The 27,369-nt window shown below is 40.9% G+C and overlaps 1 protein-coding gene across 13 annotated transcripts, besides 1 other annotated feature; it reads right to left on the minus strand.

The window, feature by feature from the left end:
- Nucleotides 1–1,533: 1,533 nt before the first annotated feature.
- Nucleotides 1,534–26,056, minus strand: CLXN (calaxin). Of its 13 annotated transcripts, XM_017013827.2 has the most exons (8): nt 25,839–26,056; nt 25,280–25,429; nt 23,882–24,004; nt 22,093–22,248; nt 21,285–21,389; nt 20,465–20,616; nt 19,787–19,891; nt 14,136–15,546 (listed from the first exon to the last, which is right to left on the minus strand). In XM_017013827.2, the coding sequence occupies exons 4-8, from the start codon at nt 22,118–22,120 to the stop codon at nt 15,487–15,489; spliced, it is 450 nt and encodes a 149-aa protein (XP_016869316.1). In that variant the 5' UTR covers nt 22,121–22,248; nt 23,882–24,004; nt 25,280–25,429; nt 25,839–26,056; the 3' UTR covers nt 14,136–15,486. The 13 variants fall into 13 exon arrangements, 10 of the variants coding, with proteins under 10 accessions (XP_011515891.1, NP_001136329.1, XP_016869316.1 ...); XM_011517589.2 differs by lacking the exons at nt 23,882–24,004; nt 25,280–25,429 and adding an exon at nt 5,666–6,273 and having other exon boundaries at nt 15,461–15,546; XM_005251303.2 differs by lacking the exons at nt 23,882–24,004; nt 25,280–25,429 and having other exon boundaries at nt 14,136–15,379; nt 15,461–15,546.
- Nucleotides 25,418–26,092: an enhancer, noted in NCBI's record as "H3K4me1 hESC enhancer chr8:49647232-49647906 (GRCh37/hg19 assembly coordinates)". NCBI's record gives its function as "activates a minimal SCP1, AML or CMV promoter by ChIP-STARR-seq in naive H9 embryonic stem cells {active_cell/tissue: H9 hESC(naive)}" and the evidence as "EXISTENCE:reporter gene assay evidence [ECO:0000049][PMID:30033119]".

A 27,369-nucleotide genomic window follows, 5' to 3' on the forward strand; every position in this document is an offset into this window, starting at 1 on the left:
AGCCGCATACCTGGGCGCTGGTGCAGGCCCTGGCCTGCTCCACATCCTGCCCTGCTGCAGTTCTGTCTCCCCACTGCACCACCTCTCAGTAGACTCTGTGGAGCAAGGCTGTCCCTCCCAGACCTGCTATTTGATTTTCTAGAATCCTGTGGCCATGAAAGAAGAGAAAAACACCACTCCCTTAACTCTCTGCTTGCCTGTTTCCTTTTTTAAAAAATTCATGGCATGAAAACTTTTTTCTCCACTCAGTTAATCTTTTTCTTTTTCCACCTCCCCCTCGCCCCACTCCGTGTTTTTGTTTTCCTCCTCCTTTTTTCCTTTCCCCTCCTCTTCCTCCTCTTTCGTTTCCAAGACAGCAAACAGCAACTCTGTTCTTCTAGACTGAGAGCTTGGTGCGGGTAGGGGCAGGGCCGCTTCTCCGCAGCGCTTCCGTTGTCTGGGATGGGGTCTGCCGGCGCTGGCTGCAGGGGCTGCACACATCACGCACACATCCCACGGCGTAACCGCCAGGGTCCCTGGAAATACGGAAGGTGCACCCACTTCCTGGTTAGTGACTAACTTGAATTTCTGGGGCTGCTATGTTCTTTTCTGTGTTTACATGGATCAAAATACAGTACCAAGTAATGAGAGATATGAAGAGGGAAGCAGCTTGCCTTGCACTTAGTCAGATTCACACTATCCCAATTAAGAACACAGCAAGTGGACCACGGCATGAATTTGGCTTGTTGGAGCTCACGTAACTTGGATGCAAGTTCATGTTTATCTAATGGGATTTTAGACTTTTATCCTTTCATACAAATCATATCTCATTAATTTCCCTTTGATATTTTAGCACTTTAGAGCCAGCATAACAAACACATTAAATCTTGAATGTGGTTAATCAGAACCCTCGACGTGAGCAGTGTGATGCCAATTGCTTTAGAATTAATGAACTCTTGATGGGATGAGAGAGATTCAAATAACTCTACTGCATGTGGTAAATGGGATACACTATGGTGTGTATGTCTGTATGTTCTGAGTGTGTCATGAGAGAGATGTGTGTGTGTCTGTGTGTGTGTGTGGGGGAGGGTAGTTGCATTAATGCTGACTCCAAGAGGGTAGCATTCAGGAGCATTCTGGTGATGTTTACACCAGCACTTTACCGGACTTTCATGAAATTAATTTTTCTAAATTCAATTATTAAAGATACTTTAGAAACATCCTTCGACTTCCTTATACTAGTAAGAGACTTAAGCAATGCCATGCATTTATTACAGGGAGGGATCCAGAAACCAGGGTTCCTCATTTCCAGGCTTTTGGTGCCCATACTTAATCATTACACATGAGCACCTATGAAGAACCTAAGCACACTCCAAGATGGGCACACATGTCACTGTCCTGACACACCTACCATAATCCATGCATTCAGATTATACTTACAGTTTATTCAAAGGGGGAAACAGCTTCCCTCTTTGTAACATGATGTAACAGACATTATCTCATTCAATCCTACCTTACAGAAACCCTGCGAGGTAGAGGCAGAGAGAGCAGGTGTTATTCCAATTTTACATAAATTTAATTTGTGGAGTAATTCATAACCTATAAATAGGGTGACAATACATCCTGCTTTGCCTGGGACAACCCCAGATTACATTGTGCTGATGTAACTATGAGCATCTTCTTTCACGATAGCATCCCATTTGGGATGATAAATGCCATGGTTCCTACCAACCTATAATCACTTTTCACTTATATCACACTTTCAAAGTTCATGTGACCTGTGCCATGCCAGGTGGTATCTTGTGACAGTAAGAGGCAGTCAGGGCTAGAACATGGGTAATGGCCTGGGCTGCAGGTCAAATCTGGTACAAATCCCAGCTCTACCATGTCCCAGCTGTCTATCCTTGGGCTAGTGACTGGCACCTGGAAAGCACCACATTATAATTTATTATGTTTGCCACTTCATTTCATGGCCTCTTATCATTGGCATCTTCTTCTTCTCTAGGTAGAAGCCTTTCCCTGACATCATCCGAGACGGCCCAAAGAAGCATTCCTTGTCCCTCTCTAGTTGAGGAGTCTGGCTTCCACCATTCTCCTCACAAGCAGGTGGTGGTCTCTACCTCTCTTCCCTCTTAGCATAGTCTGTTGACGCTCCTCTCACTCTGCCTCTCTTGGTGCCAACAGAGTTTTCCAGCCTAGTGACCACTCCATGTTCTCCACCACATCTGAACTCTTGTTAAGGCCAGGTCCCAGCCTAATGTCCAGATTCTTATTAGCACCAAATATGAAAGGCATTACATCCAAGCAGGAAACTCCCACTAAAGAAAGCAAATCCCAAGGTATGTTCAGATGAGAAGAGTGGATAGGAGAGGAATCAATGATCTCACAATACATGTACACCACATAGCAACCCAGCCTGCAGCCACGAGGGTCTGCCGGGAGATTCTGGAGCTGGAGACACTCACTCACTCCACAGGAGTAAGTGGAGGATATGTGGCGAGAACAGATTTGCTTTAGACAAAGGTCTTCAGCATTAGAACTAGATAAGGTCTGAATCTTGGCTTTTGCCCTTTTCTAGTTGAGACACATAGGACGTTCCTGATTTTCCAAAATCCAATTTCCTCAATCTGTAGGATGAAAATAGTAAGTAATGTTTACTTCTTAGGATAGTTGGGAGAAATTAGTGAGACAATGCATGTAAAATGCTTAGCCCAATATCTGGAACAAAAGCGCTCATTAGATTTTCATATCATGTATTATTGAGATTATGGGGATCTTAAAAATTTAATTTATTCCATTTTCTGACTTTATCATGTTTCTAAAGGATTCATGAAGGAAGACATGACTAAATGGTTTTAATTAACCTCCCAGACTTCCCAGTGCTTTTGGGCTAATTATTTCTGCTGGGAGGCAGTGACTCAGGCTCTAAATGCCACTCACAGAGAGGATTCCTAAATCCTTCTGCTTACTTCCACACTGTTCTCTGTCTTCAGGCTGTGTGGCTCCAAGTGGTGGTGTCCTCCCTCAGGGAGCAGGCTGCTTAGGTCCCCTTCATCCACACGAGGCTTTGGAAATGCAGATGGGAGGTGGGCAGGTGCAGCTCAGGCTAGGAGAGGGCAGCCTGGGTTTCAACCAGTGCATCCAAATGTCCTCCACGCTGACAATCTCTCACCCCAGGGACCTCTGTGAGCCTAGCTGGGACCACATAATAGGGGCAGTGTGGAGCAAAACAGAAAAGAGGGAAGTAAAAATAAATGAGAGGATGTGTGTTTTAGGCGGGGAATATTTTCTTGAAGGGTAGGTAGGAGGCTTGAGGTCCACAGAAAGCCACAAATGACCAATGGTGGAGCTGGGTCAGTGAGCTGCTGCCTGGGCAGTGATGCCGATAAAGGCACTTCAAATGCAGACGTGCGCCCAGCCTCATTAAGGATGCCTCCATTAGATTTCCTGTTTTTATTACTTTCCCACGAAACTGAGAAAGTTTGGCCGGGCGTGGTGGCTCACACCTGTAATCCCAGCACATTGGGAGGCTGAGGAGGGCAGATCACAAGGTCAGGAGTTTGAGACCAGCCTGACCAACATGGTGAAACCCTGCCTCTACTAAAAGTACAAAAAATTAGCCAGACATGGTGGTGCGTGTCTGTATTCCTAGCTACTCAGAAGGCTGAGGCAGGAGAATCGCTTGAATCTGGGAGGCAGAGGTTGCAGTGAGCCAAGACCGTGCCAGCTTGGGCAACAGAGTGAGACTCCTCTGTCAAAAAAAAAAAAAAAAAAAGAAAGAAAAAGAAAAAAACTGAGCAAGTTTACTTGAGATATATCTGTGAGAAGTGCACTTTGATTTACTTGCTACCTGTTTGGGAGGGCTTGTCCCTCAATGGCAACTTAGACTGGAAAACACTGCAAGACACCATCTGCCTCAATCCCTGACAGAGAGGGCAGTCACTCCATCAGAAAATGCAGATCTATTACTTCTGCCTCTTTTGGAAATATTACCAAACCATCCTCACAACTTGCTAAATTGTAATTAATGTATATATGGGTTAAATTTCTATTTTATTATGTATCTTTTGTAGTCGCTCTATGTCTAATGCAATTCCCAATCCTCCCTTGGTTGCACTTGATGAGAACTAAACACTAGCTGTGAACGACTGGGCGAGCGTCAGAGGTGACTCTGGGAGGAAATGGCCCCCTGAGATAAGACACAGGGTCAGGAAAAGCACGGGAGCTACAGAGCAGCTCAAAGGAACTTTCTCCAGATGGTTGTCTTCATAGTTTCAAAGTAATTGATTTGAATCCCCTTTAACAACCTTCTTTAATACAAATGATATAACTTTGTGGGGGGAGGCAGGAGAGGCGCTATTACCATGAATCCAAGCAGTGACAGGTGACGACACAAGCAGCCCATGAAATTATCACTTTACATGGTGAATGGGGTTAGGGCAGGGACAACCAGCTTAGAATACATTAACCCTCATGGTGTTGCACAAAGTAGGAACTTAGTGAATGTTTTGGATGATTTTATGGTGCAAGCAATTGCAGGCCTGGTTTCTTACAAGTGCAGTCTTGTACACAGAGATATTTGCAGGTTAAGAATGCAGGACTACCAGTTTTCAGTGGTGGTTTTTAAATCCTGTAGTTAAAAAAAAACACTTAATTGTTTCCCAAATAGAATTTCTTCATGCTGCTTGCGAGGTGATGTCTACCTCTCCTAAACAGGCCTAGCCTGGCTTTCTGGTACTCCACATAGAGTGCTGGGAAGAGAAGGGGAAGCCAATGAGAGGAGCCAGTTAGAGGAAGGCTATCGCTAATCCTCCAAATTATAACTGCTCATCCACAGTCCTAACCCACCCCCCCGACAAACCCAGGCAAAGACCAAGGTCAGTCAGGTTGGCTGTACTTAGCGGGGAGAAAAGTCAGGCCAAGCCTAGCAGTCGGGAGGTGAGGGCATAGAATGGGCAAGAGGGGAGAGACAGCTCTTCCTTTAAGCTACCCCAAGGGTACTTAGATACCCTTACTATGTGGTGAGTTAATTTTCAGTGTTACAATCATTTCTGAGTTGGTACAGTAGTGAAATTAAGAGAATCCATCAATCTAGATATTGCAGCACAAGGAAGTGATTTGGGCAGTTTATGATGAACGGCAGAGGAGATGTGTTCTAGATATATTGAAAGGCTCTTGAACAGAGCTTATGAATTCTTACAGTCAAGTGCCACGATCATCTTAAGCTGGATTAAAATTACTTAGGATTTTTTTGTTGTTGACATCTTTTAGGTTTAAATAATGTCAAGTAATAAAAGAGGGTTATTCATATGGAGGTCAGTATATACTCAACATACAGTAAAAAGTTTAGGTACAGATGTCTAAGAATAGTACTTTAAATGATAAATTAAAATCATGCTCATGACGGTCCGTGATACTGGTAAGGAAATTAAAAGAATGTATATTGCAGGGAAAGGGAGTCTCGTACATTGGGGATGGCAGTTCAGTTGGAAGCCTTTCCTGATGAATGATCTGGCAACACGTGCTAGAAATCTCAGAATTATGCAGAGACTGTAACCCAACAATTCTACTTTTACAAACTTATTCCAAGAAAGTAAGCACTGTGTTATGTGAAAAGGTTTATCTACAGGGAGTGTTCAGTATTAGAATTATTTATAATAGCAAAAATGTGGAAACATCTGACATGTCAATGGCATGAAAGTGGTTTAATAAAGTCAGTCATGATGGAATACCAGGCAGCCATTACAAGTCAAGCTACAGACAAATAATGACCTCAAAAAATGTTCACAAAATAGTAGTACACCAAGACAAAAGTGCATTTTCAATATGATCATCTGAAAAATACAGTATTCTCTTTGCAAAAATGTAGATGTACTTACAAATGCATTGTAAAAGTCTGGAAGGATTTATACCAGAATATTAATCAATATTTTCATCTTATTTTAAAATTTCCTAAATATCTGAAATATTCTTCAGAGAACCTCAATTCCTTTGTAATCAGAAAAATTAGTTAAAATATTAAAAGCAGGCAAGTAATATCAACAAGATGATACACTAGGAGATCCCAGCTCTTGTCTCCCCAACAAAAGCAAGAATTTAACAGCTACTTGCCAACAAAAATAGCTCTGAGAATACTCCAGAGTACAGTGAAGAAGCTGCAGGAACCCATTAAAGCACCCCCAAACCAAGGACAGCTGTATATAAAAGTGTTGGAAGCGTTTTATCTGCATCACCTCATCTTCTACCCTGGCACAGCTTGGCAACAAAGGGGATCGTTTTGGCTGTGACCTCTCTCTGTGGGGAAAAAGGAGAGCAGAAGTCCAGTAGCCTTTGCCACTGAGGACCCCAGCAGCTTTTGTCACCATCATGGACACCCACAGTTTTTATGACTGATGGTGCCCACAGTCTTCACTGATGCTGACCCCAGCTGATTAAGCTGCCCAGAGTCCAAGATGTATCCACCTGGAGCCAGAGCTGTCACACCCCAGCTGGTGCCTTCACACCCACCAATAGGTGAAGGTCTTTCCCCACCAAAGGCAGCCCATAAAAGTGTGGAAGAGGTGACTGCTCCTTCGTGTGTAGATATAAATGCAAAGCTACAAGAAACATATAAAACCAATGAAACATGACTGATTTTCCAGTAACCAACCCCAAAGAAATGGAAATCCTTGAATTTCCTGACAAAGAATTCAAAATGATTGGTTTAGAGAAGCTTAGTAAGCTGTAAGCTGCACACTTGCACTCCTCAGCCCTTGGGCAGTTGATGGGACCAGGCACTGTGGAGCAGGGGGCAGGCCTGTCGGGGAGGTTCGGGCAGAGCGGGAGCCCACCCAGACAGGTCGGGTGGGGCTTGGGCATGGCGGGATGCAAGTCCCGAGCCCTGCCCCGTGGGGAGGCAGCTGAGGCCCAGTGAGAATTCTAGCACTGCTTGGGCGGGCCGGCAGTGCTGGGGGACCCAGCGCACCCTACGCAGCTGTTGGCCCGGGTGCTAAGCCCCTCACTGCCTGGGGCCGGCGGCACCCGCAGGCCAGCCGGCCGCTCCAAGTGCGGGGCCTGCCGAGCCGGCGCCCACCCAGAACTCGTGCTGGCCCATAAGCACCACGTGCAGCCCCGGTTCCAGCCTGCGCCTCTCCATCCACACCTCCCCACAAGCAGAGGGAGCCGGCTCTGGCCTAGGCCTGCCCAGAGAGGGGATCCCACAGTGCAGTGGCAGGCTGAAGGGCTCCTCAAGCGCGGACAGAGTGGACTTCGAGGCCGAGGAGGTGCCGGGACCGAGTGAGGGCTGATAGCACATTGTCACCTTTCAAGAGAACACAGTCAGACAACTCAATCAGGAAAACAACACGTGAACAAAACTAGAAGTTCAACAAGGAGATAAAAGTCATTAAAAAACCCAGAATTTCTGGAGCTGGTAAGTACAATGAATGAAACAGAAAATGCAACAGACAGCCTTAAGAACAGATTCAATGAAGCAGAAGGAGGAATCTGTGAATCTGAAGACAGGTCATTTGAGATTATCCAGTTGGGGAGAAAAAGGAAAAAAAAAACAGTAAAAAAGAATGACGAAATCCTACAGGATTTATGGGCCATAATCAAGTGAACCAATATATGCATTGTGAAAGTATCAGAAGGAGAAGAGAAAGAGTCAAGAATTTTACTTAACTAATTAATGGCTGAAAACTTCCCAAATCTTGGGAGAGAAATGAACACCCAGATTAAAGAAATGCAGAGGACCAGGCTGACCAATATGGAGAAACCCCATCTCTACTAAAAATACAAAATCAGCCAGGCATGGTGGCACGTGCCTGTAATCCCAGCTACTTGGGAGGCTGAGGCAGGAGAATCACTTGAATCCAGGAGGCAGAGGTTGCAGTGAGCCGAGATTGCACCATTGCACTCCAGCTTGGGCAACAAGAGTGAAACTATGTCTAAAAAAATAAAAGAAACACAAAGGGCCTAAAATAGGGTCAACCCCAAGAAGGGTACAATGAGGTACATTATAATCAAATTGTCAGAAGTCAAGAATAAAGAGCATTTTGAAAGCAGCAAGAGAAAGGTGACATCATATGTAAGGCAATGTGGATAAGACTATCAGTGGATTTCTCAGCAAAAACCCTGTAGACCAGGGAAGAGTGAGATAACAAAATCAAAGCACTGAAAGAAAATAAAAAAAACCCTGCCAATCAAGAATACTATACCTGCAAAATTATACTTTAAAAAGGGAGAGATAAAGTCTTTCCCAAATAAACAAAAACTGAGGAAGTTTGTTATAACTAAACCTCACTTACAAAAATGGTAGAGAGTTCTTCAATTTGAAATAAAAACATGGTAAGCAGCAACATGAAAACAAATGAAAGCATAAATCTCATTGGTAAAGATAAATATGTAGACAAATACAGAATAATGCAACACTGTAGTATGTAAATTACTGTTAACCCTAACATAAAAGTTAAAAGATAAACATTTAGTAAGAGACACACAATGTACAAAGAAGCAAACTAATTACAAGAACACAAAATGTGTGGGAGGATTAAAAGTATGGTTTTTGTGTGTGATCAAAGGTAAATTGTTATCAACTTAAAATAGACAAGATATTTTATGCAAGCCTTGAAATAACTACCAAAACCCCTATAATTGATATATACACAAAAATACCCAAAAACAATCATTACAAAACATCATCAAATCAAAGAGAAAACAACTGCCAAACAGAAAACAATAAACAAAATGGCAATAATAGGTACATAGTTATTAATGGTTGCTTTAAATGATTATAGATTAAGCTGCCCAACCAAAAGGCATAGAGTGGTTGAACAGATTTTAGAAAGATCCAGCAATACGCTGTCTACAAGAGACTTGCTTTAAATTTAAAGGCACATATAGGAGGAAAGTTAAAGGATGGAAAAAGATATTCCATGCAAATGGTAACCAAAAGAAAGCAGAGGTGATTATGCTTATATCAGATAAAAGAAGTATTAAGTAAAAAATTATCTTAAGACAAAGGACTGAGAAATGGTCAATTCAACAGGCACATATAGTAGTTTTAAATATATATACAACCAATATCAGAGCACCTAAAGTATATAAAGCAAATATTGACAGATCTCAAGGAATAAATTTATAGCAATACAGTAATAGTAAGGTACTTTAATATCCCACTTACAATAATGGATAAAATATCCAGACAGAAAATCAGTAAACAGATGACTTGCGCAACACTATGGATGAAAAGACCTAACAGACATGTACAGAACTTTCTATCCAACAACAAAAGAATACAGTCTTCCCAAGCATACATGTAAGGTTAGATCACATGTTAGGTAACAAAACAAATCTTAACAAATTTAAGAAGACTGAAATCATTACAAGTATCTTTTCCAACAGTAACAGAATGAAACTAGAAATCAATAACAGTAAGAAAATGGGCAAATTCACAAATATATAGAAACTAAACAACACATTTTTGAACAGCTATTTGTTCAAAGAGGAAATCAAAGGGAATTTAAAAATTATCTCAAGACAAACAAAAACAAAAACCCAACACAAAACTTATACAATGCAGCAAAAGTAGTATTGAGGAAAGTTTACAATGATAAATGTCTACTTTAAAAAAGAATAGAGATCTCAGGTAAAAAAACCTAACTATACACCTCAAAAAACCAGAAGAAAAGAACAAACTAAGCCCAAAGTTAGCAGAACGAAAGAAATAATAAAGATAAAAGCAGAAATAAAACAAATAGGGAACAGAAAAGAATTAACAAAACTAAGACTTGGTTTTTTGAAGAGATAAACAAAATTGACAAACACCCGGTCAGACTAAGAAAAAAAAAAGACTCAAAATCATAAATGAAAGAGGAGCCATTACAATGGATGCTTCAGAAATAAAAATGATCATAAAAGACAATGAAAAATTACTATGCCCAAATTGGATAACAGAAGAAATGGATAAATTCCTAGAAATATACAACCTACCAAACTGAATTAGGAAGAAACAGAAAGCCTGAACAGGCCAATAACAAATAAGGAAACTGAATCAGTAATCAGAAAGTTCCTAACAAAGAAAGGTCCAGACCAGGTGGCTTTCTAGGTGAATTCTACCCAACATACTAAGAAGAATGAATACCAATTCTTTTATTTTCTAAACTCCTCTAAAAAAATAGAAAAAAAGGGCCCACTTACAAAAACTCCTTTCTTGAGGCCAGTATCAACTTGATTCCAAATCAGCACAAGAAAAGAAAACTACAAGCCAATATCCCTGATGAACATTGGAACAAAAATTTTCAATAGAATACTAGTGAACTGAATTCATCAGTGCATTAAAAAGATCAAAATGCCATGACCAGGTGGAATTCATCCCTGGGATGCAAAGATGCTTCAGCATATGCAAATCAATTAATGTGATACAACACAATAACAAAAAGGAAAGTAACCTCACTATCATCTCAACAGATGCAGAAATAAAGCATTTAACAAAGTTCACCAACCATTCATGATGAAATCTCTCAATAAAATAAGTACACTAGGAACTTACCTCAACACAAGAAAGGCCATGTATGAAAAGCCCACAGCTAACATCATCATTAAAATAAAGAAACTTTCTGTAAAACTTCTGGTAGAAACGGTGCTCATTCTTGCCATTTCTATTTAACATAGTACTGGAAGTTCTAGCCAAAGCAATTAGACAAGTAAAAGAAGTTAAAGCATTGTTGCGGGAAGTCAGGGACCCCGAATGGAGGGACCGGCTGGAGCTGCGGCAGAGGAACATAAATTGTGAAGATTTCATGGACATTTATCAGTTCCCAAATAATACTTTTATAATTTCTTATGCCTGTCTTTACTTTAATCTCTTAATCCTGTTATCTTTGTAAGCTGAAGATGTACGTCACCTCAGGACCACTGTGATAATTGTGTTAACTGTACAAATTAATTGTAAAACATGTGTGTTTGAACAATATGATCTCAGTGTACCTTGAAAAAGAACAGAATAACAGCGATTTTTAGGGAACAAGGGAAGACAACCATAAGGTCTGACTGCCTGCGGGGTCGGGCAAAAAGAGCCGTATTTTTCTTCTTGCAGACAGCCTATAAATGGACATGCAAGTAGGGAAGGTATCATTAAGTTCTTTTCCTAGCAAGGAATATTAATATCCTGGGGAAGGAATGCATTCCTGGGGGAAGGTCTATAAATGGCCGCTCTAGGAATGTCTGTCTTGTGCAGTTGAGATAAGGACTGAGATACACCCTGGTCTCCTGCAGTACTCCTCAGGCTTACTAGGGTGGGGAAAAACTCTGCCCTGGTTAATTTGTGGTCAGACGGGTTCTCTGCTCTCGAACCCCATTTTCTGTTGTTTAAGATGTTTATCAAGACAATACGTGCACCACTGAACATAGACCCTTATCAGTGGTTCTGCTTTTTCCCTTTGTCCTATTCCCTCAGAAGCAGGTGATCTTTGTTAGACCCTTATTAGTAGTTCTGCTTTTTGCCCTTTGAAGCATGTGATTTTGTACCTACTCCCTATTCTTACAGCCCCTCCCCTTTTGAAACCCTTAATAAAAACTTGCTGGTCTGAGACTCAGGTGGGCATCATGGTCCTACCAATATGTGATGTCACCCCCAGTGGCCCAGCTGTAAAATTTCTCTCTTTGTGCTGTCTCTCTTTATTTCTCAGCCAGCTGACACTTACGGAAAATAGAAAGAATGTACATTGAAATATTGGGGGCAGGTTCCCCCAATAAAGCATCCAAGTTAGAGAGGATGGAGTAAAATTACCTCCATTTTGAAACATCATCATCATATATGTAGAAAACCCTACAAACACAACAATGACAACAACAACAGCAACAACAACACACTGTTAGAACAAATAAGTGAATTTCATAAAGCTGCAGGACACGAAATCAACTTACAAAAATCAGTCACGTTTCTACCCACAAATGAGCTATCTGAAAAACATTAATAAAAAACTCATTCCTAATAGCAGCAAAAAAATAAAAAATAGTAATAAACTTAAGCAAAGAGGTGAAAGTCTTATACACTGAAAATTATAAAGGCAATGATGAAGGAAATTAAAGAAAATACAGACCAATAAAAGGGCATCTCATATTCATGAATTGGAAGAATTTATATTATTAAAATGTTCATACTACCCAAAGTGATGTACAGACTCAATACAATCCTTATCAAAATCCCAATGGCATTCTTCACAGAAATAGAAAAAATAATCCTAAAATTCATATGGAACCAGAAAAGACCCTAAATAGCCAAAGCAATCCTGAGCAAGAGGAACAAAGCTGAAGACGTCATACTTCCTGATTTCAAAATACAGTGCTTTAGTAATCAAAACAGCTTGGTACTGGCATAAAAACAAACATATAGACCAATGGAACACAAGACAGGCCTAAAATAAATCCAAGCATCTACAGTCAACTGATCTTCCACAAAGGTGCCAAGAATACACAACAGGGAAAGGAGAGTCTCTTCACAAAATGGTGTTGGGACAATTGGATTTGCACATCAAAAGAATGAAATTGGACCCCATCTCACAACATATACAAAAGTCAACTCAAAGTGGATTAAAGACTTAATGTTGACTTGCAGCTGTAAACCTATTAGAAGACAACACAGAAAAAAAGCTTCATGACATTAGTCTAGGCAATGATTTTTGGATATGATGACAAAAACACAGGCAGCAAAAATAAGTGGGATTGAATTAAACTTAAAAACAAATCTGCAAAGAAAAGGAAATAATCAACAGTGAAAAGGCAACCACTGGAGAAAATATTTGCAAATCATATATTTGCTAAGTGGTTAATGTCTAAAATATATAAGGAATACCTACAACTCAATAGCAACAACAAAAACCAAACAAACATAAAACCCCCCAAAACCTGATTTAGAAATGGGCAAAAAACCTGACTACGCATTTTTCAAAGATAATAGCAATGATCAACAGGTCTATGAAAAAGTGATCAGGTAAATGCAGATCAAAACCAGAATCAGATATCCCCTCTTACAGAGGCTATTATCACTAAGATAAATGATAACAAGGGCTGACAAGGATATGGAGAAAAGAGAATCCTGTAAATTACTGGTGGGAATGCAAATTGGTACAGCTAGTATAGAAAGCAGTATAGAGACTCTTCACAAAATTAAAAGTGGGACTACCATTTGATCCAGAAATACCACTTCTAGGTATACAACCAAAGAAAATAAAATCAGTCTCATGAAGAGAAATCTGTGTCCTTATGTTTATTTCAGTGTAGTCACAGTAGCCATGATATGGAAACTACCCAAATAACTGTCAATGAATAAATGAATATATGAAATACATATATGTATATGTGTGTGTGTATATACACATGGCAGTTTTCAGTGTATCCCTAGAGTCCTTCCAGGCAATTACTGCCCCGTGCATTGCAGTTGGTTGCCAAAGCCCCTCTCTGTCCTGGCACCCAGTATCCCTCCACCCTAACTCTACATTTCACCCCATGCCACTGCCTAAGTGCATCATAGTGTCCCTGTCTCCCCATTACACACACACACACACAGACACACAATGAAATATCATTCTGCCTTTAAAAAGAAGGAAATTATGCCATTTCCAACAACATGGATGAACCTGGAGGACATTATGCTAATTGAAATAAGCCAGACACAGAAAAAAACAAATACTGCATGTTCTCACTTATAAGAGGGACCTAAAAGGGAAAAACTCATAGCAGGATAGAGTAGAATGGTGGTTTCCAAGGGCTGGGGATAGCAGGGTGGGGCAAAATGGGGGGATGTTGGTAAAAGGCTACAAAATTTCAGTTATGAAAGATGAATAAGTTCTGGAGATGTAATAAACAGCAATGTGACTATAGTTAACAGTATTATATATTTGAAATTTGCTCTAAAGGTGGCTAACACACACAAAAAGAAAATGGTAACTGTGTGAGGTGGTGTATGTGTTAATTAACTTGATTGTGGTGATTATTTCACAATGCATACAAATATAAAAACATCAAGTTGTATACCTTAAATATATACAGTTTTAAATTATCAATTTTCCCTCAATAAAGATAGAAAAGCATTGTGTTGCATTATTTATATTTACTGCAAATAGAAAAATTGTGTCAAAGTCCATCTATGTAAGAATCTAAAATATAAAAAAAACTTGGACAGTAAAATATGTTTTCTTTTATTTCATGGATCTGTTTATTCCATTTATTAGTAACAGTGCATTTTTTCACACAATATTCTATTTTACTTAAACTTAATGCATATGTAGTAAGAAAGATTTACTATCCCAACTAGCCTCTCAGTATTTAGATGAGGATAGAACAGATACGGTGTAACACGCCTCTCCACTGCTTACTGTGTGTACCAAGAAGGCAGAAAGCAGCTCACCCAAGCCTAACCTGGCCCTGTCTTTTTCAGGCTTCTCAGGATGCCCACAGCACATACTGGGGAACTGGATGCAGGGAGAAGCCAGGTCTGTCTTCAGGAGGTCACAGCCAGCAGGGCACAGTTAGGTCGTGCCCTGATAAGGGGGTACACAAGGGGAACTCCAGGCAGTGGGGGGATGGGGACACTATGGTGCACTCAGGCAGTGGCAAGGGGGCAATACGTGGAGTCAGGATGGAGGAACACTGGGTGCCAGGACAGAGGGGGGCTTTGGCAACCATCTGCAATGCATGGGGCAGGGACTATCTGGAAGGACTGCAGGGATACACTGAAAGCTGTGCCAATGCATTAGCCATGAAACCTAAGAAACTCAGTACATGTTCTCCCTCTGCTCACCAAGAGTTTGCATTTATCTTGTGGTACTTTTTGATTTTCAGTCCAATCTACAGTAATTATGGACAGCCCATTGTATGCAGAGGACTAAATGCTATGGCAGACAAAGATGTGGTGGATAAAACCCTTGCCTTCAGGTGCTTACAATCAGTAACGTTATTTAGCCAAAGCCTCAAACAATAATGCAAATCATATTATATTTCAATATAATATGATTTCCATGTATCTTTCATCTCTCTAGATCTCCCTCAATGCCTACCAGAAAGGCGTTTCAATGCTCAATAGAATACTCTTATTCTTTTGATGCCATCTTCATTATTTGTTTCAAAGGAAATCCAGTAGTTTCAATGATTTTTCAGTGTACACCCAGCTTCTTTTTGACATGCAGAATATTTGTATTAACAATTCATAATTATGTAATCTCTCTATTCATTTAATGAACCCAAAGGTTTTATGCCAGTTATGTGCTTCGACAGATAGTCTATGTGATAAAACATCTGTAGAAAAGTTAACTGTCTTGCCAAACCCATCATCTAATAAGGGACTTCTTGTCTTCCATCTATTTTAATTGCATCTTACACTGATGTTAAATGATATATGTAAGTGAACCTCATCTTCACCCTGAAACACACAATTCAACATCATTTTTCTGAACTAAGTAGAAAAAATAAGCAATATGTGTGTGCCTCCTTTTTTACTCACTTGAGACAATATAGACATTTAGTTATTCACATATCATTGAATTCATTTGGATCTTTGAATACTTGAGCTTCAAATTCCATCTGGCTCTGTAAAAAAAGGTACTCAATTTAGTATAAATTTCCAAAAAAGGTAGAACACCACAAAATATTCTGTATGTCTCCTTAGTGTAGAGACAGGATAACTGAGGGTTAGTGGGCATCGAGAACTTCTGGTGTTCAAGCGTTTCACTCACAGATCTCATGACTACACTCAAAACACAGTGCTTGGTTATGTGGCCACAAAGATGAGCAAGACCAATTGACCCAACTCTCCAAAAGTCTCCAGCCTGGTGGCAGAGACTGGCCAGAAACTTGCAAGAATCAGTCAGGGCTGCATGGGCTGTGGTAGGGAAAGGCACATGGTAGACTATGGGAGTCCAGGAGGAACAATCAAGGCACAGCCGGGCCTTGGTTGGGAACGAGGCACTCTCTGGAACAGGAAGGCTGTACTGAGAGCCAAGGGTGAGGGGGATGTGGTTCAGTAAGGTAAGAAGCCAAGAGCATTCAAGGGATTTATTCACAAGGTGGGAGGGTGACCTTGCAATAGCAGATTCAGGGGTAGATAGGAAGAAGTGATAGTAGTTAGATATTAAATCTGGACAATTCTTTCAAGAAGCTAGGTTTTAAGAAGGAAAGCCATTATATAAGAAACAGAAGTAATAAGTGTGAAATTAAGGTAAGTTCTCTCCTTTTCTTTCCTTCTTCCTCTCATTCTTTCATTTTGCTTTTCAGATGGGACAGTTTTGAATCTTTTAAAATTCTAATGGGAGCCAGGCATGGTGGCTCATGCCTGTAATCCCAGCACTTTAGGAAGCCGAGGCAAGCTGATCACTTGAGGTCGGGAGTTCGAGACCAGCCTGACCAACATGGAGAAACCACGTCTCTACTAAAAAATATAAAATTATCCGGGCGTGGTGGCGCATGCCTCTAATCCCAGCTAGTCGGGAGGCTGAGGCAGGAGAATCACTTGAACCTGGGAGGCGGAGGTTGCGGTGAGCCGAGATTGTGCCATTGCACTGCAGCCTGGGCAACAAGAGCAAAACTCCGTCTCAAAAATAAATAAATAAATAAATAAATAAATAAATAAATAATAAAATTCTAATCGGAAGGTTTCACTAGAGAGGGAAGAGATTGAAGATGTGGTATAAAGATAAAGGTAAATGAATGAAATAGCTCCTGAGGAGATGGAGAGATCCAGAGCTCCCCATCAGGCACTTCTGAGACCCACCCACCCACCTCACCATCCATCCACCTCATCCATTAATCCATCCACCCATCCATCTACCCACCCACCTACCTCGCCCATCCACCCACCTCACCCATCCATCCATCCATCCACCCATCCATCTACCCACCCACTCCATCCATCCATCCATCCATCCATCCATCCATCCATCCATCCACCCACCCACCCCATCCACCCATCCATCCACTCATCCATCCATCTATCTACCCACCCTCCCATTCACTTCATCCATCCATCCATCCATCCATCCAACCATCCATCATCTATCTATCCATCCATCCATCCATCCATCCACCCACCTATCCATCCATGTACCTACACAGCCATTCACCTCATCCATCCACCCATCCACCCACTCATCATTTCATCTGCCCATCCATCTATTCACCTACCTCACCCATCCATCTGCTCACCTCATCCATCCATCCACTCATCCATCTACCCACCCACCTACCTCACCCATCAATCCATCTCATCCATCCATTCATCCATCCATCCATCCATCCATCCATCCATCCAATCCATCCATCCACCCATCTATCCATCCATCTACCTACCCGCACATTCACCTCACCATCCATCCGTCCATCCACCCACCCACTCATCTTTTTATCTACCCATCCATCTACCCACCCACCCACCTCACCCATCCACCCACCTCATCCATCCATGCATCCATCCATCCATCCACCCATCCATCTACCCACACACCTACCTACCTCACCCATCCATCTACTCACCTCACCCATCCATCCATCCATCTACCCACTTACCCACCCACCTCACCCATCAACCCAGTTCATCATCCATCCATCCATCCATCCATCCATTGTCCATCCATGCATCCACCCATCTATCCATGCATCTATCAATCTATCTATCTATCTATCTATCTATCTATCTATCCACCCACCCATCCATTCACCCACCCACGCATCCAACCATCCATATAACCAATCACCCACTTCACCTATCCACCCACCTCATCCATCCACTCATCCATCCATCCATCCATCCATCCATCCATCCATCCATTCATCCATCCACACACCCATCCATCCATCTACCCACTCACCTCAACTATCCATTCATCCATTCACCCATTCACCCATCCATCTACCCACCCACACACCCACATCACCCATCCATCCTTCCATCCATCCATCCATCCACCCACCCACCCACCCATCCACCTCACCCATTCATCTATCCACTCATCCATCCATCCATCCATCCATCCATCCATCCATCCATCCATCTCTCATTACTAGACACACACCATGTGCTACACACAGGGTATGGGGAAACACAGTGAAACAAAGACTAAGTTCCTGGCCTCAGTGAGCTGACATGTACAAGGCGAGACAGATATACCTAGGTAATAAAAAGAGCTGCTAAGTAAAAGAAAGAAAGAAGGGCTGGGGGATGAACAGGGAAGATTGTTAAGATGGTCAAGACAGGGCTCTGTGAGGAAGTGGCATTGCAGCAGAGACTGGATGAAGTGAGAAAATGAGGCCCAGGAGGGTCTGGGGAAAGGGCTTCTGGACAGAGGCAGCAGCAAGTGCACAGGCATGGAGGAGGCACATGAGCCAGAGGCTGTGGCTCCAGCAGCAAGAGAGAAGGGAGATGATAGGACATGTGGGTGGAGAGAGGGAAATGGCCCACTGGGTCCACTTCAGAACCCTCTGGGGGGTTTTGAGCATGGGAGGGGCCTGGCAGCATTTGCATTTTAAACATACTGGACATTGTTGAGAAAAGTCAGTAGGGGATGACAGTGGAAGCCAGAAAGCTAACAATCTAGGCTAGGTAACATATAACAGTGGCTTAACTTAGAGTGGTGGCAAACAGATGTGAGGAGAAGAGGCTATATTCAAGGACATATTTTGGAGGTGTAGCTAACAGTGTTAAAAGAGAGAAATTAAAGATGGCCCCTAGGTTTTGACTGAACAACTGGGCGTATGTGGTTGCCACTTATTGAGATAGGGAAGACTGGGGGATGGGTGAGTTTTGGGGAAAAGTCAAAAATGTGTTGAGGAGATCTAAGTGGACATGTTGAGTAGGCGGCAGGAGACACATGCTAGGGCTGGGAAGAGTGATACTGTTTCTATATCACATCACACTGCCTGCCTCAATCTTCCAGGGATGCCTCATCACCTTCAAGACTAAATCTGAGCTCCAAGCTCCACAAGCTGTGCTTCTGCAGCCTCATCACCAGCCTCAGAGCACACCAAAACCTCGTCCAGTGCAGATGCATTTGCATCTCTTGTTCCATCTCTTTCTTTCTCTCTCTCTATCTCTCTCTGTCTCTCTTTTGTGCATACATCACCCATTGCTCAGATTATTTTTCCCCATCTGACCTGGCTATTTTGTCCTTTGAAAACCAGTTACTCTGATAAGCTTCCTGCCCTACCAGTCATTTACCAGTCCTCCCATACAGCTGTTTAGATGACCTCTTCTCAAGTTCCACAACACTCTACACATATCTCTATGACTCTGGCACCAGGGTACCCAGGGTATTCCACTAATAAGTGAGTAAACTTGGACAAGGTGCCTAAACTCTCCAAGCCTTGGTTTCCTCATCTGGAAAATGAGGCTAATATTACTACCTACTTCACAGGGTTATTATGAGGATTAAATGAGGCAATATGAGGCTTAGTGTTTACAACGTTGCCTGGCATTGATGAAGAACATACAAGTAATTAAGTATCATTATAATAATATGTATCATACTCTTGTGTAATTATTTTCACTGGAAAATATGAGCCCTTGAGTAAAATCACTGAGCCTTTCATCTGTGCTTCTGGCACACATTAAACCTCATTAATTGTTTCTGACATGAATGAGTTAATGAATGAAACACAGCACTGGGTCACACTAGTACCAAGAAATGAATCAGCAGGTTATTCAGTGGGCTTTCTGTATTTAAAAGGTATTCTTTCTTGGTGGACAGGATTTGTCTGATCCACTACCCATTAAATCAAGAAGTCCTGGGTTGTTCTACATTCTACTTTGATTACCGTTCAGGGAAAGTCATATCAATACCTTTGGATCAGGAAGACATGGCCCAAAGGCCTCCAGTAGAAGAGTCTCTTCTCTCACAGCCAGTTCATAGTCTGCAAAAGACAGCTTCCCATCATGGTCATGATCCTAGGGGAATGAGAAACATGTTAGGCAACACGTAAAATGATTACTGCAAATACATGCTCTTTTCATAGTCAAGTGTTAATTTAAAAAAATGTGCTAGGCTGGGGATGGTGGCTCAGGCCTGTAATCATAGCACTTTGGGAGGCTAAGGCGGGGTGATTCCTTGAGGCCAGAAGTTTGAGACCATACTGGGCAACATAGTGAGACCTCATCTCTATTAAAAAAAAAAATTAGCTGGGCATGGTGGTATGCGCCTGTAGTCCCAGATACTTGGGAGGCTGAGGCAGGAGAATTGCTTGAGCCCAAGAGTTTGATGATGCAGTGAGCTGTGATCATGCTACTGCACTCTAGTCTGGGAGACAGAGCGAGACCCTGTCTCAAAAAAAAAAAAAGTGCTAGAAAAATAAGAGGTTAGGTGGTGAAACTGAAAAGAACTATTAATATGTTGAGGAGCATAATTTATGTGTTTTATTTAAGCAAGCAGAGAACTGAAAATTATAATAATTTGAATTCTTATTTCTAGCCCATATCTGGCCCACAAATTTTAATAAAAAACTTGACATTACCCATATTTACCATTTTCTTCAGTGTTATTTCAACCAAATCTTTAATTCCTTCATCAGGGTCTTCCTCAGATGGCTGTTTGAGAAGGCTGTTCTTCAACATGTGAAACATTTCCTCCTTTGAAATGAATCCGTCACCATTCAAATCAAACACTTCAAAGCAATCTTTTTAAGAAAATAACAAATCATGAATTTGATGCTATCAGTAAGGTAATATTTTCTCTGATAAACTTTTCAGGGCCAAGTTCTATCTTGATGCTGTACCCACAGGTCTTAGTGCAGCCTGATTTGCATTGTAAGTGTCAACGTATACTAGGATATATACAATAATCCTTAGAAAATATTTCCTGATTCTCAATTATGAAAAAGCATACCAAGGAACAGTAACTTGAATATCTTCACCTTGAAACTCTTGGAAAACTGATTGAAATATGGCTCATAAGCAGAGTTCATCAGAATTAATTGAGAGTTAATTAAGAATAAGAACACTTGAATCAATATTCTCTAGTTTTATGGTTACAATTCAAGTAATGAAATCTGTCAAATGCTTAACATATAAATGTATATGTACATAATTAGCATATGTAGTAATGCCTATGGTGTCTTCCTTCGCATAAATTACTCCTCAGAATCACTTGAGTTTTCTTTTTATTAACTTTCTTTCATATTTTATTGACTTGAATTCATTCCATAAAATAGGTTAGTGGGATTCAAACCAACTAACCAGCCAACCAACAAACCCACTTTACTGTCTTGGTTGAAAGACACTGATTTAAGTGCTTTAGATATGTTATTCATAATGTACGAACCAATAGGACAACCTGCAATCTTACATTTCATTTTTTCTTCCAAAGATCCTCGAAGAAACAGTGATAATCCATGAATCCACTCCAATACATTTACACAGCCATCATTATCTTTATCAAAACCTCGGAATACTAAAGGGAGAGAGGTTAAATGGAACACCTGTCCTGCATAATAACTCTCAGTAAAGTATCTACATTGGCATCACTCACTTTTAAAATTAAGAGAACACTTCAGCTTGTGAAGTCCAATATTCTCATTTGACGAAAGAGGAAACTAAGACATCATAATATCATGAAACTCTTTTATTAAACATTCAATTTTTAAAATGTTTTTGTGGGAACAAATACAATTCTCAATGTCTAAGTATATTAATCATTATTTAATAATAAATATGTTGCTATAAAATATGTTGGTCATATTAGATAAATATATGAATATAAATAAAATACTTAATAGTTTTGTTACTCAAGTCATTACTTGATGCATAGAATTATATCTTGTCACTGAAATATCTTCTATGATGTAAAGAATGTAAATGTCCTTTTAAAACTATTCTATTTATTATGTTTATTAAGTGGAAATCGAAATGTTTTAGGTTTTCTGATATAAGGTAAGAGAAAGATGTCAACATGACTTTGTCTTCTTCTTAAATACACAAAATAAAGCCAATATTACCTCCTTTTCTATGATCTTCTCAAAATTAAATTTGTATATTCCAATGACACTGGGAATGCAAAACACTAAGCTTCCTACCAAGAGGATGTCCAAGCACCAAACCCTTTTTTTTTCAGTTATGGCTGGATTTGGCTAATTTGAATCTTGTGTGTCTCTTACCTCTGTCCATAATCATGTCATCTGTCATTCCAAATGTCACATGCAGGATGTTTCGAAATGCATTACGATCCAGTCCAACAACCAGACCTTGCCTCTCTACTCCTCCCACCAAGTCATAAAAAAGCTTTATAAGACAGTTCACTTCAAATTTATTAACTGAAATAATAAAATAGATATAACAAAAATGAACCCTTAATCTTTAAGTTCTAACTTAAATTTTGCAATAAGTTTACAGACAAACAACGTCAAAGACATCAAATAGGTAATTGTCAATAGAAGACTCTCCTGTTTTGAGATTCATGAACCCTTAACTTAATAGAAATAAAAAAAGCAGCATACCCTCCAAACAGGAATTCCCATGTTTAGGGAAAAAAATACGATAGTATTAGCCAAGTTACTAGAATAATGATGGTGGTGTCGGATTCTAAACTCTACAAGGCTAGTAGAAATACGTCTCAAAATAAGAATGGTAAGACTAAAGAATGGTAACTTTTTCTCAGTATTTTTACCATGGCATTTACGAGATTTACAACTTCTTTTCCCTGGAAATAGATGTCAGATTCATGAGAATTAGGTAACAATTTTCATTTCAGTTTAGCCTTCATTAATTCATAAGCCAGATTTTGGAAACTAGAGTCACCAGTTTTCCAATAAAAAAGCTTTAAAGCATATTTTAGCACCCAATATGGCTCTTCTTGAGGATTACGTAAAAATTAACATGCAACTATTCAGTAATAGTTTGGAGGAAGGAAATTTTTATTTAAAGGATATACACACAAACAGATACTTGCTCATACACATTATTGTATAAAGGACCATGGTTATAAATACCGAGTTAATTATTTGTGTTCCAATCCCCATTTGAGAATGTAGGTGGAAGGGTTATTGCCTGGTCTTGATAATATAAAAGCTCAAATACCAAGTATGGGCGGAAGTTGGGGAAAATTTATTTTGAAACCAGTCAAAACTGTGATTGAGCATTTTAACAAACAAGGACAAAACCTGTGTGTGTATAACAGAAGACAGCATCTAGGAATGGAAAAATCACACCTCATCCTAGAGGTCAGTACAGGCATTTGTGGGATTTCTGGTTTGGAAAACCACATTTAAAGAGAAACACTAAAAAGTCTGGGAAAAAAGATTCAGCAAATAAATAGTAGGAAACAATATAATGGTTATGATTTCAAAAACAGCTGTTAGTCACTGTGGAAAACAGTATGATAGCTCCTCATAAAAATTAAACACAATTATTGCGTGATCCAGGAATTCTACTTCTATTTACATACTCAGAAGAACTGAAAGCAGGAACCTGTACAACAATGTTCATAGTGTCATCATTCACAACAGTCAAAAGACAGATGCAAGAGTCCATCAATGGAGGAATGGATAGACAAAATGTGGTGTATTCATACAATGAAATATCATTCAGCCTTAAAAAGGAAGAAAATTCTGACACATAGATGAACATTTATGGATATTGCACTTAGTCAAATAAGCCAGACACAAAAGGACACATATTGTATGATTCCTCTTATATAAGGTACTTAGTCAGATTTATAGAGACAAAGTAGAATGATAGTTGCCAGGGACTAGGATGAGGAGGGAATGGTGAGTTAACATTTAATGGGTAGAGTTTCCACTGGGAACAATGAACAAGTTACGGAGGTGGATGGTGGTGTTGCAAGCAGAACAGTGTGAATGTACTTAATGCCATGAAATTAAGCACTTAAAATGGTTAAAATAGTAAATTTCATGTTATATGTAACCACATACACACACACACACAAACCTCCTAAAAAGCAAGAGCTGTTAGTTGTTGCGGAAGAAAAGCCTGCATGAAGAATGATGTACTCTGTTCATGTACATAAAATGGTAGCAGAGGGGATGTTGGTTAGCCATTTTTCCATCTCAGCTGAAATAAAAATTTTTAAAAACTAGTTTAATTTATTACCCAAAGGATCAAAGGTTAGCCATAAGAAAACTTTTATTGCTAAACATTTCTTAAATTCTAGAATACAATACTAAATGAAACAAGAAAATTCAAGAATAGGTTTTCATCTTCTTGGAATGCTGTGAATGTGTCCTGCAGAACATATCTGTAGAACAGTGCATGAACTAGATGTTCTCTTAAGATCTTTCACTCTTCTTTGATTCTACAAAATTTATCCATTGAATCTTGATAGCTTTATTGTCTTGCAACTAAAACAAAATTTAACTTTAGGGGAAAGTTCTTCCGTTAAAGAAAATTTAAAATTATTATAATGTCCATGACGTATAACTATTTCTATAGACTTTAACTAATAATCATCTAAGTTTGTAAGACTCATTGAAAATTTTTTAGTAAACAAAAAAATCAAGAGCAGACTTTTTCCTGCCATATTTTTACTTACCTTTAAAAATATACACTCACCTTTTGATTGTTCACAGAATGATTGTCTGCAATGCATTCAAACTTACCGAACAGAGACTAAATCAAATTCAAACTTACGGAAAGGGACAAAATCAGTATTGTGTATAGCAGCTATTGCATTGTTTTTGAATATTTATCAAAAATGTTTACTAGATGTTTACTAGAAGAATACCTATTCTCCCAGAAATGAAAGTGTTTTAAGAAAAACAATAACAGAACAAAACCCTCATCAGAGTATAGTAGTCATAATAATATCTTAAATTACAGGATTTTTTTCCTAAACATTTTAAGATGCGTACACACACCATAATATTCATTTATATCACCATCCACTAAGAGAGCATTTCTTACCAGGTATTAAATCAGATACTAATGATAATTAGAATGCACTAGATCTTACAATCTCTAAAACTACATCAACATGTTTATTCCTTCTTTTTTGAGCGACTCGGTTATTTGGGGGATTGTTGCTTCTGTTTCTTCAAGTGGCCAGTAGTTTTGCAATTAGCACACACAACTTCTAAGTTTGCTCGACAGGAAATTATCTTCCTCATCTAAACCATACCCACGGCTTCCTTGCTAAAGTGCAATTATGTTTTTCAGTCTGAATATAAACTCAAAGTTTCCTATGAAATTCTAGGACCACCCTTTCAAATGCGAGATTAGAGCAGGTGCCTTCAAATAGGGCTCATCTTGTCACCTGCAAAGTCTCCTTTATCTTTCAACACCAGGGGCCACTGGAAAGTGGGAGTCTAAAGTTGGGAACCCATTCTTTACCACGTGTTTAGTTGTGCTGAACTCTGGTTTCCAAACAAATATTGTTCTGAGGCACAGATGAGATGACACAACTCATCTCTCCGAAAGATGTTGAGAAGTTGAGCACCGTTTTCTCCTATGGGTCTCTTGGTAAGCTTCCAGAACTTGGACCTGCGGGTGTATGTGCGAGCTATAAAGCAGGGTGAGTGCACGGTCTACCTTGGTGGTGCTACTTTTCTTGAGACCAGTTGGTTTTAGCATTTATTTTACACCTCATTGAGGCTAACATCACATGTTTCTATCAGGTAAAAGAAGAGGGTTGGAGAAGCAAGTAAATGCATGTGTGGGAGTGTAGGTAGCACCAGAGGCGGAGGCCTGGGTTCCTAAGATCAAACGCAAGGAGCTGGCACCCCGGGATTCCCTCTCTGACTTCTGCTTAAGGGGCCGGGGTGGAGGGGCGGTAGGTAGCCCACAGAGTCCCAGCAGGCGGGAAGCAGGCACAACAGCGGACCTTAGCACGGGGTGGGACCCAGGCTCGGTCCAGGAGCCTCGGCCTGTCCAGCACTACATTCTTACTTACAATGCTTGCAATTTTTGGTTAAGGTGTCCGTCAGCTTCTGCAGTTTCTTGCGGTTCATGTCTGGCGCTCAGAGAATCGGGCCGCGGCGGGGGTCTCTGGGCGCGCGGCTACCGAGACCCTCGCGGGACCCCCGCGAGCCCTGGTGCTGGGTCAACGCGGTGAGGTCTCAGTTACTGATCTCGTGCGCGGCCCTAACAGACGGTGTAGCCAAGGCAACGGCTCAGCCCGCCGCGGATTGGCTCCCAGGCTGCCCGCGACGTAGCCAAAGCTACAGCTGGGCCCCGCCCATCGGCTCAGCGACTGCTCGCGCTGGGTTCTCGGTGCGCGGTGCCGCCGGCAGGGTCCCAGCTGGCCGCCTTGAGGGCTGTATTCTGACTGTTGACGTTGGAGTTTAAATGTTCAGTTGTTGCTGGCTTTTGAGTTCGCAGCCTCTTTGCTTGATTGCAGTGTAAATCATTAAAATCTGAAATGTGGTGTGCACGCTGTATGAGAGGTGTTTCGGGTCGTGAGCGTCACGCCTCAAGGGAAGGCCCAAGATCTTGGACATCTTGGGGGCTGGAGCAGCGTCACAAAATAGCAAGGTGCTGTCCAGAGGACGATCTTGCCGGGCCTCCCGTCAGAGGGCTAGAAGCTTGCTCTTTGGGCGGAGCCACTGCTTAGGTTTTCAGTCTTGGTGAGGTAACAGGAGGCAGTCTGTCACCTGAGGTCTTCGAGCTTTTAGTTGTGTTTCTGAGAGCAAGGGGAAATTGGAATACAGCCACGGGTTGCCTAAGGAGCGGGACGCGTTCCGAGGTCACTAGGAGATTTCATCACTGTGTGCACATCACGGTGCACCGACACAAACCTAGATGGCCTTGCCTACTGCACGCCAGGCTGTATGGTACAACCCATTGCTTCTGGGCTGCACCCCTGCACAGCAGGTCACAGCGCGGAATGCTGCAGGCAGCTAAAACAGAGTGCTAAGCACTCTGGGGAAGGTGCAGTGTTCCAGTACAGTGTTACATCTTATGGGACCACTGTCCTAATGTTGTCTGATGTTGACTTAAATGGCGCTATGTGGCTTGTGACTGTAGTTTTTTTCTTTTCCCACTGCCCTCATCTCACTTCCAAAAGATGGAGGTTGTCTGTGGAATCTGAGGAAAGCCACGAGGAATTTTTATACTGCTTAAATAGGCATTCCCCCCAATGAAAACGGGCTGACAACACCACTTGGGTGTGGGGTACAGCCCAATCTTGCTTTTCCGGAAAATATCTCAGCAACCTTGGTCCTTTACTTATTTGAAAGACAAGTTCTGTGCCGGCAGACAAAGGATATTCCTTACATCTTCAGGGTGGGAGGACTTTCTGCTTTTCCTGATCACAGAGGGGATATCCTCTTTCAGCTAAGGCAGCAATAAAAAGGGGTGGCTCAGCCAGGATCACCAAATCTACAGTATTCTCCAGAGTGCCTGCTCGTTTAACTTCAGAGGGGAAAATGACAAACTATGTTATTGTACACATACTGGCATTTTTAGACTGAAGGCAGAAAAAT

This window comes from Homo sapiens, chromosome 8, assembly GCF_000001405.40.
Source record: "Homo sapiens chromosome 8, GRCh38.p14 Primary Assembly".
NCBI lineage: Eukaryota > Metazoa > Chordata > Mammalia > Primates > Hominidae > Homo > Homo sapiens.

Coding starts and splice junctions, on each gene's coding strand:
- CLXN (XM_011517589.2), bottom strand. CDS start 25,896: ATGAACCGCAAGAAACTGCAGAAGCTGACGGACACCTTAACCAAAAAT. Junction 22,249..25,838: donor AACCAAAAATTGCAAGCATT/GTAAGTAAGAAT, acceptor TTATTATTTCAG/TTAATAAATTTGAAGTGAAC. Junction 19,892..20,464: donor AAATAACACTGAAGAAAATG/GTAAATATGGGT, acceptor TCATTCCCCTAG/GATCATGACCATGATGGGAA.